Source organism: Homo sapiens, chromosome 5 (assembly GCF_000001405.40).
Source record: "Homo sapiens chromosome 5, GRCh38.p14 Primary Assembly".
NCBI classification, from domain to species: domain Eukaryota; kingdom Metazoa; phylum Chordata; class Mammalia; order Primates; family Hominidae; genus Homo; species Homo sapiens.
This window is the reverse complement of record NC_000005.10, coordinates 90,877,971-90,896,475: the sequence shown is the minus strand read 5'-3', so window position 1 is coordinate 90,896,475 and position 18,505 is coordinate 90,877,971. Positions and strand designations below refer to the sequence as shown.

The 18,505-nt window shown below is 36.1% G+C and overlaps 1 protein-coding gene across 12 annotated transcripts in view, besides 2 other annotated features; it reads right to left on the bottom strand.

The window, feature by feature from the left end:
• Positions 1 to 18,505, bottom strand: part of ADGRV1 (adhesion G protein-coupled receptor V1) — a 605,641-nt gene that overhangs the window by 267,962 nt on the left and 319,174 nt on the right. The gene's annotated exons all lie outside the window — the stretch shown is intronic.
• Positions 1,921 to 2,065: an enhancer, noted in NCBI's record as "145 bp 5:90190300 sequence used in MPRA reporter constructs". NCBI's record gives its function as "activates a minimal TATA-containing promoter with rs4580808 allelic activity by MPRAs in UACC903 melanoma cells {active_cell/tissue: UACC903}" and the evidence as "EXISTENCE:reporter gene assay evidence [ECO:0000049][PMID:36423637]".
• Position 1,993: a transcriptional cis regulatory region, noted in NCBI's record as "rs4580808 or 5:90190300 MPRA-significant variant associated with a GWAS melanoma risk locus at 5q14.3". NCBI's record gives its function as "allelic transcriptional activity by MPRAs in UACC903 melanoma cells {active_cell/tissue: UACC903}" and the evidence as "EXISTENCE:reporter gene assay evidence [ECO:0000049][PMID:36423637]".

Here is an 18,505-nt window from a genome sequence, read left to right as displayed (position 1 = left end):
TGGCAAAACCCTATCTCTACAAATAATACAAAAATAAATTAGCTGGGCATGGTGGAAAATGCCTGTAGTCCCACCTACTTGGGAGGCTGAGGTGGGAGGAGTCTCTCGAGCCGGGAGGTTGAGGCCACAGTAAGCTGCAATCACGCCACTGCACTCCAGCCCCAGAGACAGAGCAAGACTCTGTCTCAAAAAAAAAAAAAAAAAAAAACCACTGGTCACCGTAATATCAGATTTATTTATTTTAAAATCTGATTATTTCAGAATAAATTTGTAAGACCAACAAACATAAAGAGATAAATTTCCTTAAACTGAAATTTCTGAGGAAGAAACTTCAGATCTATTGCATTTAAATTAATTTATCACAGTTTAACAATGACACAATCCAACAATTTATATTTTCAACTACAGTGAAATCCAGTTAGCTTGATCATTTTGATAGTCAATGACCTCCGAGAATGGAATTCAAGCACTTATCTGCACCCCCATTGGCCCTCCTAAACAGAATAGAGCACATCTTATTCTAATAAATGACACATTTATAAATAAACAACTTTCAGGCCAACTGTTCATAAAAAATTAACAGAAGCAGTTCACAAAGCAAAGTTATGAAGACTATACTTTTGGATGTATAGTCAAGCTACTCCTGACTGCTTGCTTACAGATGTCTCAGATTTTGGCTGTATGCTCCCTGTTACACTGTATCTCCCAAACTGGAGGACAGCAAGTTAAAACTATTACCAGCAAATTAGAAGCTATTTCAACTCTTAAGTAGCCAAAATAATGGCATTCTCCTCAGTGTTCTATCTTGAAATTTGCTGAAAAGGCGACAGATATTCTATGTAGTTATTTAACTGAGAAAAAGAGAAAAGAAAGGTGAAGTTTTAAAGATGTGCTATGTGAAGACCCTACCCACCTCTTGACACCATTTTCTAAGACTCCCCATCTTGTTAAAATTCCAGCTACAATGTCCACTTTGTTGCTCAAGCATGCCAAGCTTTTTCAGGCCTCTGGGCCTTTGCACCTGTTGTTTTCTCTGTCAAGACTGTTATTGTCTTAGATATTTTCCTTTCTTCTCAATTCACATGTCAGCCCCACAGTGATGCTTTTTCTGACCCCACATCCCTTCAATTACTCTCTGATTTTCACTGTTACACTTACCACTAGCTAAAGTGTGTTTATGTACCCCTTCATTCTGTCTCAAATGCCAAGGTATTTACTTTCAGAGAGCAGAGACTGTGTCCTTTTTTGTTTACCACTGTGAACATGGTTACCTGGCCCATATTAGAAACTCAGTAAGGCATGAGGATCACTTGAGCCCAGAAGACCAACCTGGGCATTACAGCAAGACCTCATCTCTACAAAAATAAAAAATAAAAAAAATTAGCCAGACATGGTGGTGCATGCTTGTGGTCACAGCTGCTCAGTAGGCTGAGGTGGGAGGACTGCTTGAGCTCAGAAAGTCGAGGCTACAATGAGCCGTGATCATGCCACTGCACTCTGGCCTAGGTGACAGAGCAAGACCCTGTCTGAAAAAAACAAAAAAGAAAGAAAAGAGAAACTTAATAAATACTGATTAATGTAATGAATGGCTAAAATTGATCTAATTAGAGCACTTTGACTTAAGGACCAGACTTAGGAAACAAGACATTGCTTCTTAATATGGACATTCCTCATTTAATCAAAAATCACCTTGAAGAAGTTGAAGGTGAAAAATGAAACAGGTTCCATATTCATTCTTAGAAATAGATACCCATTGTCTTGCACTCTGCGATTTCTTGTGTTCGTGCTTGAGTGAATCTGTGTCTGTCAAACTCAGGGAACTCACTGGAGTCTGGGAAGTCACTGTGCTGCCTTGCAGAGTCGGTGACTGCTGTGGTTTTAACAAGGTACTGAAATATCGCTAAATAAAGTGTTGTCATGGGAGCAGAATAGTCAAAATTTGTTAATCTGCTCAGTTTTGTCAGCTAGCAGACATACACAGTCCTTCCCACCCCACAGCCGGCCATCCCCACAACTCACTAAGCAAAGGCAAGCTATTTCACCTACTCATTTTATATGCTGCTCTGGTTTTGGGTGCAGTTAAAATTACATCCAATTCTGCAGGTAATCCTAATGTCATAAAGTGATAAGTAACAGCAGAGAATGAGGCAGTGGGATATGGGCATAAAAATAATAATGAAAATGAACACAGATCTTGGAGCTGGAAAAAGGTTTGAGAATGATGAAAACCTTTGCCAAAACTTAAGCTTTGGAGCTTGCTGCTCTGCCTTGGGAATAGCATGTGCCATAGGGTGGGGCACAATGATTTTACTGACAGATTTTTTGATGCTGTGTTCAATTTAGTTTTTATTGTTTGCATTTGGGGGCTTATTTTGAGTCACATACTCTCTTACCATTAATATATGAGAACATCCATTAATATTTTGAGTCTTTATTAGGGTTTAGCCACAAGCTATAATTCAGCTTTAGATGACCTTCTGAAAGTATGCTAATGTGAGATTTAATGATATCCTCTTTATGTTTCCCAATACCAGTTTTTAAAGCAACATTAATTGTTAAGATACATTTACACCTAAAATATTGGAAATACATTGAACAGTGTGAACAACATATTAATAATCTCCAAAATGAACAACCTTTTGTCACTGCAGGGCATGGAAAAAATAAATATTGAATTAGCTAATCTTTAATGTTTATTATTAGTCCTTACAAGTAATCCTTATGAGTAAATAAGATTCAGATTCTTTTACAACACACTGAAGGTTTAACCTATAAAGATGGTTCTCTTTTGTTCCAAAATTATTAAATACATACATGCTTTAAAAGTTATTATTCGATAAAACTGTAAAACTATTGTGTAGTCAGCTCATAAATTATAAGCAAATGGATACTGCTAAAATAGATTTTATGGGCTGATTACACAAGAGTCTTAAAACTTGTCGAATAGTTTGACTTTATATAGCCAAACATATCACGGCAGCCAGCCTTCACAACGGCCCCAGTGATCCCCACCTCCTGATATACTCTTGCGTAGTCCCCTCCCACAGTAGACTAGGGTAGTTGTGTGCGACCAGTAAAATATGGGAGAAGAGATGGCACATGACTTCTAAGAGTAGACTGTCAAATAAAATGTGGCTTTTACCTTGGTCATGCTCATTCTCTCTTTCATAGTATTCAATTTGGGGGAAGCTGATACTATCATTAACAGTCTTATAAAAAGCCCAAAAGGTGAGAATCCAAAGCCTTCCTAAAGCAAGGAACTGGAGCCTCTAGCCAATCGTCACACTAGTCAGTCATCTTGGAAACAGACTATCTACCCTCAGTCAAGCATTTAACTTCATTCCTCACTGATAGTGAGAGCAACCTCATGAACAGCAGAAGCCAAAACTCCCTAGCAAAGCCACTCTTAGATACCCAACCGTCAGAAATTTTGTGACATAATAAATGATTGTTGTTTAAGCTGCCAAGTTTTGGTATAATTTGTCATACAGCAATAGATAACTAATAGACAAATCTGCTTGCAACTCATCTACCCCTGTTACTCCATCTTGGCCAGAGCCAAAGTCAATTGGGTAAGTTTTGATTAAAGATTATGGATAGAAATAAGCTGTGTTTTGGACACTTCCCAAGGACATGAATGAATATAGAAAAATCATTTAGAATTAGTATATCACTCTATTACAAACTGGATTGGAATTCTCTTTTGCGGTATAATGAATATGCTTCATTAACAAAAATATATAATTCAAGAATATACAAACTCATATTTTGTAACAGAAAACAGACCACTGGCTAACTGGAGATAGAAGAGTGGGGGTGAAGGATTAAAAGGGGTAAGAGAAAACTTTTGGGGTATCCTCATTACCTTGATTGTGCTGATGATTTTTAATGGTATGTATATATACATATATGTCAAAACTTATCAAATTGTACACTTTAAATGAGTATCTTTGTTTTTCCAATTTACTTCACTAAAGTTTTTTTAAATGTATTTGATTAATGGATCCATAACTGACCTAATTTTCAAATGGTTATGATTTTCAAATTGCCAGGCCTGAATGACATAAGACTTTGTTCTTTGGGATCTGGGAAATTAAGAAAACCATACTTTTATCACATATTATTCTATCTTCATATCAATGAAACAGTCTCATAAATTATTATAACACTGTGTTGGACAATTTGAATCAGAAAGTACTAGAACAGAACAAATTTGAAAATTTCTCAAGATAATAAAAGTTTATTATATGAAACATGTTAAGAAATATGATGGAAAGGTGACCTCACATTCACATGAAATTTTGCAACATTGAGAGAGGTGAGCACTTCAAAGCAAAAGAAGTGGATAAATCTACACTAATGATTTTTTAGTTCCATGAAAGATTCTATGACACTTCCCCTTGAAACTAGAATCAAGAGTTCTAGTCAATTTTTTCAAAAGAATCCATCCTTTAGTCTTTACATTCTAAAGGATGAAACTTAAAGTGCATTTTCTACTCTGAACTCATAACTTTTCAATAGAGACTAAAGAAAAATTACCTAGATGAGGTTATACCATATATAATTTGTCCATGTTAGAACCAAAGTTTCCATATTAACTACATTAATAATTACAAATATATTACTGCTTCCCCAAATTAAATATTACATATTTACATGGATAAGCAATGATAGCAGGCGGGTTTATGACATTTGCTTCCCTTCATTGTCAATAACATTTCACCTATTTTAATGATATTATCTAAAACAGAAATTCTTCTAAAAGTGAAAAGAAAGGAACTTTTTATGCTATAGCCAAGTAAAATTTTATTGATCTAATTAATTTTGTAGTAAAACATTTTAAATATGATATTCTATAGGATATTTTATTGTTTTATCATCACACCATAATTGATGAGATGATTATCAGTACCTGAAAAAGTTTCTCCTTTTTGCTCCTATTATGCTCCAAATATATTTTTCATGTTAGATATTATTTTCATTTTCCCATTTATACTTTTATAATTAAAGTTTTACCGTAAGTAATTTGCTTCCCTGCACATACTAATTTTCTTAATTATATTTAGAATATAGCTATCACTTATCAGTCATCTATAGGAAGGTGATATTTTCTTAAAAGCTATTTCGATATTACCTTTCAGTTTGTGTTGTCTAACACCCCTATAACATCATTACCCCAATACACACATCTATTGCTAACTCCAACACACACACAAAGAGTGAGAAATACAAAAGTATGTCTAATCAAAAGGAAGTCTAAATGCTGGCTTTTATATAATATATATAAATAATATATATTATAATATAAAATATAAACAGCTACTCATCATCCAAATTAAAACAATAAAAATTTTCCATATTTTTTCAAACTTTTTTGTTTAAAGAAAAAAAATGTTACAGATGCATATAAACCCGCTCTCCCATTCCATTCCTGCTCCTTCTTCCTAGAGGTAAAAAGTGAATTTCCTTTTAATTTCATATGCTCATATCCACTGTCATACATTTTGTTTTGTACAAAGTATATTAATTGAAAACTCCAAGAAATGCCAATTTAAAAAGATTTTCAACTTTACTCTTTATCAGGGAATGCTAATTAAAATCAGCAGATAAAAAATAGTAAAAAAATCTGATGACACGAAGTGTTGAAGAAGATGAGGATAAACAGTAATTTACATGGCACTGATAGAAATATAAGTTGTTACAATGTCTTTAGAGAACAATTTAACAATTTGGGGGCCAAACTGAATATATCCTTATGCTGTGGCCCAGAAATTACCCTTCTAGACATTTACACATGAAAATGTGTCACATTTATATGTAAGGAGGCGTGTAAAAGGGTCATGTTAATAAATGGAACACTTGTATAGTGTTTCTTATGTGACAGGTACTGTTTAAGTCTTTCATGTGTTTTTACTCTGCTATCTTCATAATATGCCTACCTCATAGGAAATATGCTTCATTTAACAGGTGGGTGAACTGAGCACTGGGTTTTATGACTTGTCAAGGTCCTGTAACTAGCAGTGGTAGAACTACAAACCCAAGCAATCCAGCTCTGGAGTCAATGTTGTTAACCGCTGTGCTGTATTGCTCACTGAAACACCATGTGTAAGAGCAAAAGGGTGGAAACCATTCAGAGTTCATCCAGACAGGAAGGAATGAACACACAATAGGACCTTTATACAGGGCAGAATAGCCTTTCAAATGCATAAAACAGACCTACACACAGCTAGTGTACATTTCAGAAACCTAACATGGTATGAAAAGGTGAGTTGCAAAAAGATTCACACTGTGTAATAACTAAAGTCACCCTTATGATTTATTTTCAATAGCTAAAATAGCTAAAGCAATCTTAGACTATATTTAAAAATATGGAATCAAACAAAGAAAGGGATTCCTTTTTTCCCTCCTTGGGGTTAAGGATTGATCACACCTAAAATAGTGTATCAATATAATGAGCTGCAAGACTGATCAACCAGACTGGGTTTAGGAGTGAGCAGCTGGAATGGGCAAAGGTTTTGCAGCTGTATAGAACAAGTGTGCAAAGTCTCTCAAGTAAGAGAATAACTATTTATGTGCAAGAAAGAAACTCAGTCTCCATCAGCCCTCTCTTTCTCCACAGGCTTCCTATCAAATGTGTCAGTACACACTTTTGATAGGGCTTATCTGTTTGACTTAGGACAATTATCCTCATATGAAACATTAACAAATGGTATCACAACATCATTTAACTTGATATACATTAAATATGGTATTCTCAAGTACATGGAAGAGTATTGATAACAAATTATGCACAAAAAAATTTCATGGAAAATTATATAATAATTTAAAAATCTGGCTATTTTTATCTGACCAAAAAAGGTGAAAAAATGAGGAAAAAATAAAATTGCATAGTTTTTATATTGTTGTAGATGAAAGATTCACCAGAAGTTTCCCTCTTACTGTAACAGACTATCAACAAAAATGTATTAATACCCTGTTTAAGAATATATACTTAAGGGGATATTCTAGTAGTGAAAACAATGGTCTGTACAAGGAAGAGCCCTGAGCTCTTCCTCATTCCCTGAATAAGTCTTCTCTATAATGAGGAGAGGCCTGTTAAGAGACCACAATGCTGATGTTAATTCAACTAAACCATCAACCTCCACAGAGTAGGTTCACTTTGTATGAAAAGCAATTAATATTTAAAAAGGTCTCTTTTCAGAGAAGACAAACCTAATAAAGACAAACACTTAAAAGATCAAGGGGCTAAACTGAGCACTGACGCACATGGCTAAAATGTTAGTTTTCAAGAATACTTAATGGACAAACAAGTGGGGGTATATTAAATGTTAATTACTCTTAATGTTAGCTCTTGAAAAAATGCTTGTTTGGGTGTGGTAACTCTTTTTGAAAAACTTGTTGGCACTCCAGTGTAGACCTTGCTATGATTTCTTTCCAACATTGTACACACCTTATTCAACAGACAAATGACTCATAGAAGGCCACAATCCAAGATTTGATAGTCAGCATTTAGCTTGCTAATGATATCCCAGATGTAGCCACAGTTTCTACTATGAGAAAAATAGTAGACAGAGGATTACACTATGGCTCCTATATTTCACTAGAGTCTGTTTTGCAGGAATAGTAAAAATACAGTGAAAGGAGTGTCAGATAAGGTAATGAGGAGAAAGGCCACAGAGGGGTTGTGAAAAGTATGCCAACATCAACAGTTGTTACTCAATATTTGTACCACTGAACCTGAATAAGCCAAGCATAGAAGGTGAAAATGGCTAGATAAGAAAGGAGAAAACAAAGGCAACTAATATAAAGTTGACTAAGCAAATCTGCAGTACAATGATAAAAACACCAAATGATATATGATATCCAACATCAAATACATTATCCATTTGTAAAGTATGAAGGCCCATTAGTCATTTTTTCCTGCAAAGTCCACAAGCACATTTATATGTTTGAATGTATCATTCCAACTTTTGCCAAGAATGTATTATTTTGTTTTTAAGCACTTTTGCCAGCCAGAAGATATTGCTATTTTATATTTTAGTTACCAATTTTTAATACAATTTTATGAACACCTATGATTTTATGTCCTAATGATGCAAATGCAAAAACAAAAAAAAACTTTTTCTCTTTAAGAACTCACAGTGCAGTAATGAGGCAGAAATCTACATAAATATTTCTGCTTAAAAATGAAATTATGCTATCACAGAGTTATATGGTAGTCAGTTTTCACTTTAGCTCACTCTTCCTTCTAGAGGGAAAACATTATTTAATGCTACTCTGTTCCACTAGTCAACATAAATGTGACATGACAGATCTCATACACATTGTAGTTTGATACTGTAATGACATTTTCAAGCATATATGATTTTAACAGAACAGGACAATATTCAAAATGGTGAAATTTGGGACACACAACAAAAACAGGAATTAAAGAATACTTTTCATTTTATTTGCTTTTATAATCTCCCTAGAGTTAGACTCTGTAGGGAAATGCCTACTTTATCTGTGTATCTGAGATCAACCCTGTGTTCTTTTTCCACATAAAAGAAAAAAAATTAGTTACTGTGTCTAGAATCCTGACTTAAAAAAACTGTGGTACAAAAATGCTATTGTGAATTATACAGCTAAAGGAAGCATTGGCTAGTAAATGTTATCAAAGATTGACATATAATCTGCATAACAGCATGAGAGAGGAGGGACAAGGTAGAGTTGAACTATTACAACTCCATGTTAGGTTTTAGTTTTTAGGTTTACACTTTCGCTATCAAATTTGTTATTTTTTATTATAAAATCTCACCCAAATTGTTTCCCATATAAACACTTCTTGGCCCTACACTGAAGACATTCTTGGCCTTGTATTAAAGACAAACAAATAAAACTTTAATAAGTAATAACAAATATGCATTCAGTGCTTATCATTCATCAGGCACTGCAGCAGAAAATGAGTGCACAGCAGTGATGAAAACAGCCATGGTTTTTGCCCTCATGGAGTGTATCATCCATGAGAAAACAGAGATGAATAAGTCAAGAACCACAACATGCTGAGTACTATAGAGAACAGGAAAATGAACTGAGAGAATACAGTCTGTTGGAGAGATGGGAGGATTAAATAGAGTGAAATAGAGTGATGAAGCCCTCCATAAAAGGCGACATTTAACCTGATCCTTGAAGTGAGAGAAGGAACCTCTGATACAAACAGCCAAGGATCAGTGAAAAGAGCATGCCAGGCAGAGACCACGGCACCCACAAAGGTTCCAAGGCACGACAGCTTCAGGGAATGAAGGCAAGGTCCGTGTGGTGTGGGTGGTAGATTGGTGATATGGACCGGAGCTGGTGATACAGTCTTAACAGCCATATTATGATGTGGAATTGATCTTGAAGAGCAGTGGAAAGCTGTAAAAGGGTATCAATAGAGGACACGCATGACATCTTTAAAAGATGACACTGGCTCCTAACTAGAGAGCAAACTGGTTGAGAGAAGAGGTGAAGCAGGCAGATCAGTTAAAAGACTATTTCAGTTGTCACATAAGACGTGGTACATTTGGCAAAAGGTAGTAGATGGATTCGGAAAAAAGGAGATGAACTCATGGCATCATTTAAAGGTAGAATTAAAAGAATTTGCTGGCACACAAAAGTCTTGCTGGTAAGCTGAATACACTTATAGCAAGGAAAGAATAATGCTTGAGAAACTCTGTGAATGATGGCCCCAATTATTAAGATATGGGAAACTGGGAAGAATGGTTTTCAAGCGGATGTTAAACTTGTCATCTGGACATGTTAAATTTGAGATACCTGTGAGACATCCAAGAAGAGCTATCAAGGAGCAACAGAGTATATAAGACCAGAGCTTAAAAGAGTGGTTTACGGTGGAGATAAAAGTTTGTGAGTCACGAAGTATACAAAAATGGTTAAAGCTTAACGCTATGGCTAATGATGAGATCATTTATCGAGAGAGTATGGAGTAATATTTCTATAATTTTAGTATACAATTCCTGAGGAGATTCTGATTCAGTATGTTTGGGGTGGAGGCTTTGAATCTGCATTTTTATTAAACTCTCCAGGCATGTCTCATCCCAGTACTTTGTTAAATACTGCTATAGAGACAGAAAATAAGTGAGCCCACTAGTGAGCTGACAACCTCTAGCAGTTGGTAGTTGGCCAGGAGAGGAAGAGTCTGAGAAGCTGAAGCCAAAGACCAACCAGGAGTGGGTGATCTATATAATTTTTTGAACCATCTTCAGAAGGAAAATAAAGGTTCCCGACTATTAGGTAATACTAGTGAGAATATGATCAGAGTTCCTTTGAGCAATTTCCTATAAAATAGTGCCAATAGCCAGCCTCCAGAACGATAGGTTGCTGCAAGCTCTTGATGCTGCTCAAAAAATATGGATTATGTCAGCAACAGGATCATTGGTGCCTTCTAAGTACAACTATTAATCCTGCTACACTAAAATCAGGGGAGGACATCACGGGATTAGTATTCGATATTTTAAAGTTAATGAGATCTTGATCCAGCCACTTCCATATACTGGGAGTGGGTAATGAGCAACATCACCACCCTCCTTCCCTCCCTTCCTTTCTTCCTCCCTCCCTCTCTCCCTCCTTCCCTTTCTTCTTCATGTTACATGCAGTAGCCTCAAGACCCGAGTATTAAGCAACTCCTTAAAACAATAGGCTAAGAATAAAAGGGCCAGACAAATTATGGGGCAGATTCATTTCTATCTCTTCCTCTAACCAATATCCTGTTTCCAACCCCTCTCCTGGCACTCCTTATCTCCACAGTATTTTAACTGCTTAGAACTGTCACCTTTCAGTCCTCACCTTGTGCCAGACAAATTAAGCTTCAGAATGCTTCCTTCCATCTCCTCTCAAAGCTTATCACATTTCACCTAGGGTTGTGTAATAACCATTTGATCCATAAACTTACTATATGCTGATGGGTTTGTTATTTCCCACAGATTTTCACTTTAACTGGAGGTTTTGTAGAGACAAACTTTAATTTGAAGGAGTTAAGCTAAAGTTGGAATATTTCCATATCATTATGGAGAAGATGTAAGTATGGAGAAGATAATTTAACAATCCTTAGTCATCATCCAACAGATTGCTATCTGTTTCATCTATAAAGTCCTGAGACTTTAAGAAGTCTTTGAGTTAATCACCTGGGAACAAGAAAACCTTTAGAAAGACTGCCAAGAGATTATTAATTGCTTCAGAAAGCTGATTTCTTGTTATGTGGTAGCAGAAAAACATCTTGAACAACAAGTACATCTATGAGTCTGTCTTGTGAAAAATCTACAGAGAGCTAAAGATTTTCTTCACCAAATAAAACTGGAAGTGGTCCTTAAATGAAGGGTTGCAAAGCAAAGGTTATCAGGCACAAAACTATTAACATACATGTGTAGAGGAGCTAGATATAAAACAATGTGGGGCTGCATGGTCCATGGGAAGCATACTGTAAGAACATACATACCACGATTGTGGGCCAAACTCAACCCACAGGACCTCAGTGCCCCTGTACTAAACTCCCCAGGCCATTGTACAGGAATGAGAGTAGGATTCATTACTTTGATTGCCAAAGAAATAAAAGGAAATTATCAGTTAGGGTATTCAACTGTCCTGGATTGCTTGGGACTGAAGGATTTACTGAGATGTAGAACTTTCAGTGCTAAACCCAGGACAGTCCTAGGCAGGTGGAGATAACTGGTCACCTTAAATCAAGACGATTATTGTGCTATGCTTTGGGCTGGAGAAACAAAACATAACAACAATGTGGGGTCTAGTTTTTACAAAAAGTTGAAACTAGTAGTTTGGTTCGAGTCACAAAGCACATAAGGAAGAGGGCAGAGTAATCACCAAGACAGTCTCCAAAGAATAGTTAGAGTGATCAGGCAATTAATTGTCATAGGCACCTGATACATACCACTAACATTGTCTTTTCAATATCTCACACAAAAACAATACTGTAAAAATGTAGCAGCTCTTGAAGAGACCATAATATGAAACAAGTCAGAAGCAATTTAATGACCCAGTTGTGTTAAAACCAGCATCCTAAAGTCAAAGGAGGTAACGGTTCTGTAATTTAAAAACAAGATACATTTCATAAAATGTGCAGAAAAAAATGATGAAAAGAATAGATTGGTTGTTTAGAGTAGTGGTACTCATTTGGAGGTGATTGTGGCTTCCAGGGGACGTTTGGTAATGTCTAGAGACATTTTTAGTTTTTGCAAAATGTTTTAGGGGAAGTGTGCTACTGGCATTTGAATGGTAGAGAGCAGGGATGCCGCTAAACATCCTACAATACACAGGACAGTGCCCCACAACAAATTATCTGGTCCCAAATGTCAACAGTGTCTGAGTTGAGAAATCCTAGTCTAAGGCCATAAATCCTTTATAAAAACCATTTGGTTAATGCCAGTAATGTTAATGTGCATGATAGTAATTTAGTTCTATGAATGTGATTCCTAACTTGACACAGGGCAATAGAGAGAGACAAGGAGGGAAGTAATGAGGAATAAGGAATGCTATGGATGATGCACAAACTAAGGGCTACATGCAAGGAGGAGAAGAGAACTCGACTGTCAAACTACAACCTTCCAGCTCACTGGGGCCCACTCCCATCAACTCCTGCAGAGGCCCTGTAACATTCCACTCAGGAATGCAGAGGTCTAGTTACTGCAACTCACTTCTCCATGCCACAGTCCCGTAAGTGAAAGGATGATATGCACATGGACATATCTGCTAGCTACAAAATGCAGGGTGAGAATGATGGCCTTGGGGAGTTAGGAAATGGGGGTGTGAGAAGGTGAAAGGCCGAAGAAGCAAAAAACAGAGAAGTAGCAGTTAGAAGGAGGAATAGTCTGCACATATGCAAATACATTTGGAAGGTGGGAGAGAAAGGCAGCATTGTACCAGTATCACTCCAAGTTATATTCAGAAGCTGTGAAAGGGAAATATGTATCACAGGAATGACCAGTTTGCAAGAGAATCATTATTTAAAATGAAAATGTTCAAAGTACTAACCAGGAGTCTAAAGACCACCCCATTTTCGGCATACCTCACTACTGGATTTTATACCTACTAAAGTAATAGGAAGAAAGAAGAAATTAGATTGTTATTTAAGGATCAATACATATTTGCTGCCTCTCCAGCATAAAAATCCTCTTCGATGGCCTGAAATACCATGGAGCTATTCTAGGAGGTAGAAGCAAGATATGACCTTCCTTCTGGTTCCCACAGATGAACATGTAATTTTTAGTATTATCTGTCATGAAAGATCTGTCAGGGTTCATCTGAAAACACAGTAGAAAGAATAATGATTCTTCACAGTTGTGTCTTTGAACAAACAAAATCAATTCAGAGATAATTGAGGCTAACAGTTTTATAGATATACTCACTAAGATTATGTTCCAACCCTAAACTTTCAAGGTAGAGACTGAATTTTTTTTCTTACTGCACTGCAATTTTGATGAAAATATTACTACCCAAAAAAGCTATCTTTACTTAAAAATCTCTAGTTACTAACAGCATAATAGATAATATGGTCACAGACATTTTGTAAAGTGAAGATTTTAAATTCAACACTATTTTAAGGACATTGCTATAATTTTGAAATTTTGAAATCACAATTACGTTCATGTTAAAAATAATTTATTACTTATATTTTTATAAAACATGAACTTATTAGTTGACTATTTTTTAAAAAATGTGTATTTTTGGATGTTGTTTCTCATCTTCCTTTACCTTAATCCATATGCCCTAGTTCCTTTAGAAAAAGAAAAGGTATTTATTTTCTAGATTTGAAATGCAAACTCAGCACTTTATTCTGGTTAAGCAGGAAGGGGGTGAGTGTACCCAAAGGCCCTGCAGGGCACAAAGGGAGTTTCCCCATCCAGAACAATAGCTTTCTCGAAATTTTAAAGTGGGAATTATCACAGAGAAAAGTATTTAAAAGGCTGTAATGAAGAAATATATAGGCATCTGTGTAGTGAGAAAAAATAGGCTTTGAAATGATCTGGATGTATGTTAGATTTACAGCTCCATCAGTACAGGAGACTGTGAGCAAGTTTCTCTCCACATCAGGAAATAGGAATTAAAAAGGTAAAAGACATGGGTCTTAAGACGATATTCAATATTTCCTTTCTCAACAGAATATTCAATATTTCCTTTCTTCTCTTTCAAAATTAATGAGAAAGATACAAAAAGAAGTACTGAAAAGGTTTGTGAAAACTACTTTCAGAAAGGCAAAAAGTCTGTCTTTTAAAATAATTATAGTATAGCAAAATATCAACTTCAATCTAAAATCTATAGATAACTTTCTGTTTGAAGGTGAGTATATTAATATGAAAGGTAATCTCTTTACATCTGTGAGGAAATCTGCAATTTTCTACCATATATGAAATTTAGAAGTTTTTCTTCTGGCTCAGTCCTTGGTATAAATGTTGGTTTGTTTTCAAAAGTTGAAAAGCAGGCTGGGTGCAGTGGCTTACACCTGTAATCCCCAACACTTTGGGAGGCTGAAGCCGGCAGTTTGCTTGAATCCAGGAGGTGGAGACCAGCTTGAGCAACAAAGCAAGACATATCTCCACAAAAAAAGAAAAAAGTTGAGCCTATAGTCCCAACTACTCAGGAAGCTGAGGCAGGAGGATCGCTTGACTGCCCAGGAATTTGAGGCTGCAATAATCTATGATCATACCACTGCACTCCAGCCTGACCAATAGAGCAAGATCTTGTATTTTTTTTTTAAAGTCCCACATTGCATACTTGATGTCTCTTCTTTCGAATCTCTAATCATTTTTCCATATTTATTTTCTAATACTTTCATTAATACTGCTGAGACAGCTGGAAACTATTACAAATTCCGCCCATCCCTGATATACATCACCCAATCTTTATCCTTTGCTGTGACCCACTGGCCAAAGTTCACCTCCCTTGAGTTATTCAATGGGATGAATTTATGGAAAAATACAAGATTAAAAAAAAACTTTCTAAGACTCTAATGAAGATTTGTGATCAGAAAATCCTATTAAATGGTAGCACATTTAATGAGGGCTTAAATAATATTATTAACAGTCCAATAATTAGACCCCTTCACCACACAATGTCAAGCTAACAGGGTCATAATTTCCGGCAACACTGGTTACAGGTGCTCTGGAGTTAGCTGTTTTTCATTCTTCTCCTTTAATTTGATTAAGCCAGAAATAATGAGCAAATGCAAACCCTTCCTGGAACGCATCATTCAATTTCTTTTCAAAAATTGCACAGGTGGAGTCCAGCAGTTTCTTGGCCATGTACTGAGGTAGGATCCATGAAATACAAAATATTCCATCAATTATCAACTAAAGATGAGATGCACAATGAAGCTTCTCACATTGGTGTTTACCCTCATGATCTGGTTTTATTAAAATGTACTCCAAAACATTATCCAGGTATGAAGAAAAGAATACATCATTGAGCAGACAGAGGTTAAGCTTCCCCAAAGAGTGAAAGCAGAGGATGTTACAATACTAAGTATACCAGACAGAACCATGAATCCTGTAATGCAGTCTTTGATTAGGAATGGACTACATAGGAAAACTCACTGCTAAAATCTGGCCACTATTCACTGTAAGCTTATTTATATGGGTGGGAGACTACTAAGGGTGAGAAATTTGAAATTATTTACATATCCTGACATACGGACAATATTCTCCAGAAAGCTGACATATTGGAATGGTTGCTGCTATTGTTACAAGTTTGTGCACGTTAGTATAATAATTCCACAATGTTCAGAGAAGCTGAGCTGAGAGGTGGCTCCAGGATAAATCTTCTTATATCATTTCTTGATAAAAATCATCAAAAACTGGAAAGTAAAGTCCCAACTACTAAACTAAGCTTTCATGACCTCCCATAGGCTGATCTGAATCTGCTTTTCAAGCTAACCCACAACACTCTCATTCAAAGATATAGTACATGTCAGTCAATGTCCTACTTTGGTGTATTTTAAAACATGTCCTGTACTTTCTTAAACCCAATGTGTGTCACTGATGTTTTCTTTGCTCAAAATGCTTTCTCCCCACTGAGAGGCAAGCTCCACCTCTGATTGTTCAAATTCCATCTATCTGATTAAAGCCTTTAGCAATTTTCAGGAAAAGGAAACAGCAGATACTGTACATGACATACATTCATGTATGTATGATATACATATTTATACACACATTTTTTATACACCTGTGTTTGTAATTTAGTGGTTAAAAGAGAATCAGACACACATAGGTTCAAATCTTAGCCCTGCTTCATAGCTATGGGATCATGAGCAGATTTAAGTTTATTTAGTATAAAATGAGGATGGCAATGTCTACTGATAGCACTATTGTGAGAATAAAATAAAGTAGCATACCTGAAGTCTCTGGAATATAACAGGAGCTCAAGAAGAATATTATTAATAATACCATTACTTCTCTGGAATTAAGTAAATAAAAGGAAAAAAATAGAAATCTAAAAATTGCTTCTTAAAATAATTATTAATTATTATTATTATTGTTATTTTGAGACAGAGTTTCGCTCTGTCACCCAGACTGGAGTGCAGTGGCACAATCTCAGCTCACAGCAACCTCTGCCTCCTAGGTTCAAGCGATTGATTCTCCTGCCTCAGCCTCCCAAGTAGCTGGGATTACAGGCGTGCACCACCATACCCAGCTAATTTTGTATTTTCAGTAGACACAGGGGTTTCACCATGTTGGCCAGGCTGGTCACAAATTCCTGACCTCAAGCGATTTGCCTGCCTTGACCTCCCAAAGTGTCGGGATTACAGGCACAAGCCATTGTGCCTGGCCAAAATAATTTAAATTAAAATTTTAAATTAAACATACGCCTTACCATTTGGAGAAAAAAAAAGCATAAAATAGTATAATTAAGGAGAAAATTGAAATTTTAAGAAACTCAAAAGGAAATGGGAAAAGGTCATTCTTCCTTTGATAACAGGAATCTATGATTCCCATAATCAAAATTATATCACAAATTTTAAAAGTTAAAAAAATTTAAACCTAAACAAAATAACTGTTTTACTTCCATAACATCCTACCTTCTGTTTTTTTGAATGAATACTGCTTGTTCTTTTCTTTACAAATCTCCTTTCAAGTTTATTTCACCCTGTGTACTGATACTTCTTTTGTTTCCAAAATGTGCATATGGATTGCTTTTCAAATGAATATGATTGCTGGGTTTTCTTGTGAATATAAGGGCCTTTCTCTCCTATGTATCTCAAAACAATTTCTGGAAAGATGGTGTTAGGTGGGAACCTTGGCTGGGCTCTGCTCCTGTGTGGGGAACCATGGAGGTGAGGTTGAAGTCCTCATTCAGCTTTTGCTAGTAGATGTTCTCCTTCCTTCCTTTTGCATGCAGACTGGAAGAACTGGAACAAAAGCCTTGCTTCAAACATGTCTCAAACCCTGTGACCTTACTTCCACAACAGCTTCCCCAAGCCACTCTCCACTTAAAGCTGAAGTAGCCTTATCCCAGGAAAGAATGACTCACATGTAGCTGGGCAATCGTTTCTCTTGCCATTTGTTCCAGTCTGTCCACAGAAGGAGAATTAACAACCAAATATGGTTCGAGTTTTTAATCTTCAAGCAAATTGTAACCTGTAAGTGGGGAAAGTGTAAAGTGCAACAACAAATAATGTGTGACACCTACACTACACCATGTAGCTGACTTCATACCTCCTTGATTTGCCCTCCTTTCATATCTGTATAAATCTCCCCAGCACTCCTGAGATTATAATCTGCTTAAGGACACCATCATGACTATGTTGGAGTTTGTTAGTCAGCTGGTTATCTGTTTAATCTCATAAATGACTGTGAACATAGAGGCATTTTTTAGAAGTACATCTTTGACTTTTCATAATTACCTTCAAAGAAGTGATAAGAAGGTGTTCTTCGGAATGAGATCTTAATTCATATTTAGGACTAGATGCTGGGTGACTGTTTCGGGAATCACAAACATACAAAACAGCATTCTAGTGGTGTTCTAAACCACTTAACGTTAGCCTTCGAATTCCATGTTAAATTTAAGTGGTAAACAATCTTTTCTTCAAGTTGCTTCCTCTCTCATGGCCACCACTGACGCAGACATCAGCTGGAAGAGAGGCCTCCAAGGATTAGGCAGTGTGCGTTAGACATAACTTGGCAGCCACTTGTAAACTCCAAAGAAAGTAAATCAAATATCAGTGACCGATTGTGAAGCTCAATTGCTTCCTCTTTTCCAGTTTCTCACAAAACTGTTTGAATTCAGCTTCCTTTCTCCCTAACAGTAGCCAATTCTGACGGAAGTCTATTCTCTCAAACTTGCTTCTATTTAGGAGAAATTGCTTATATTGTTTTTCCCAAGCCTATTAATAACCTAGAAAAGAGTTACACACGCTGAATCTTAAACAACACCACAAATATTTTCCTGTGGCATTATCACTGTATTTTTCTAAGGTCTGAACTCTATCTTTACCTCAAGAATATGAATTCAATAGCAAATTCAC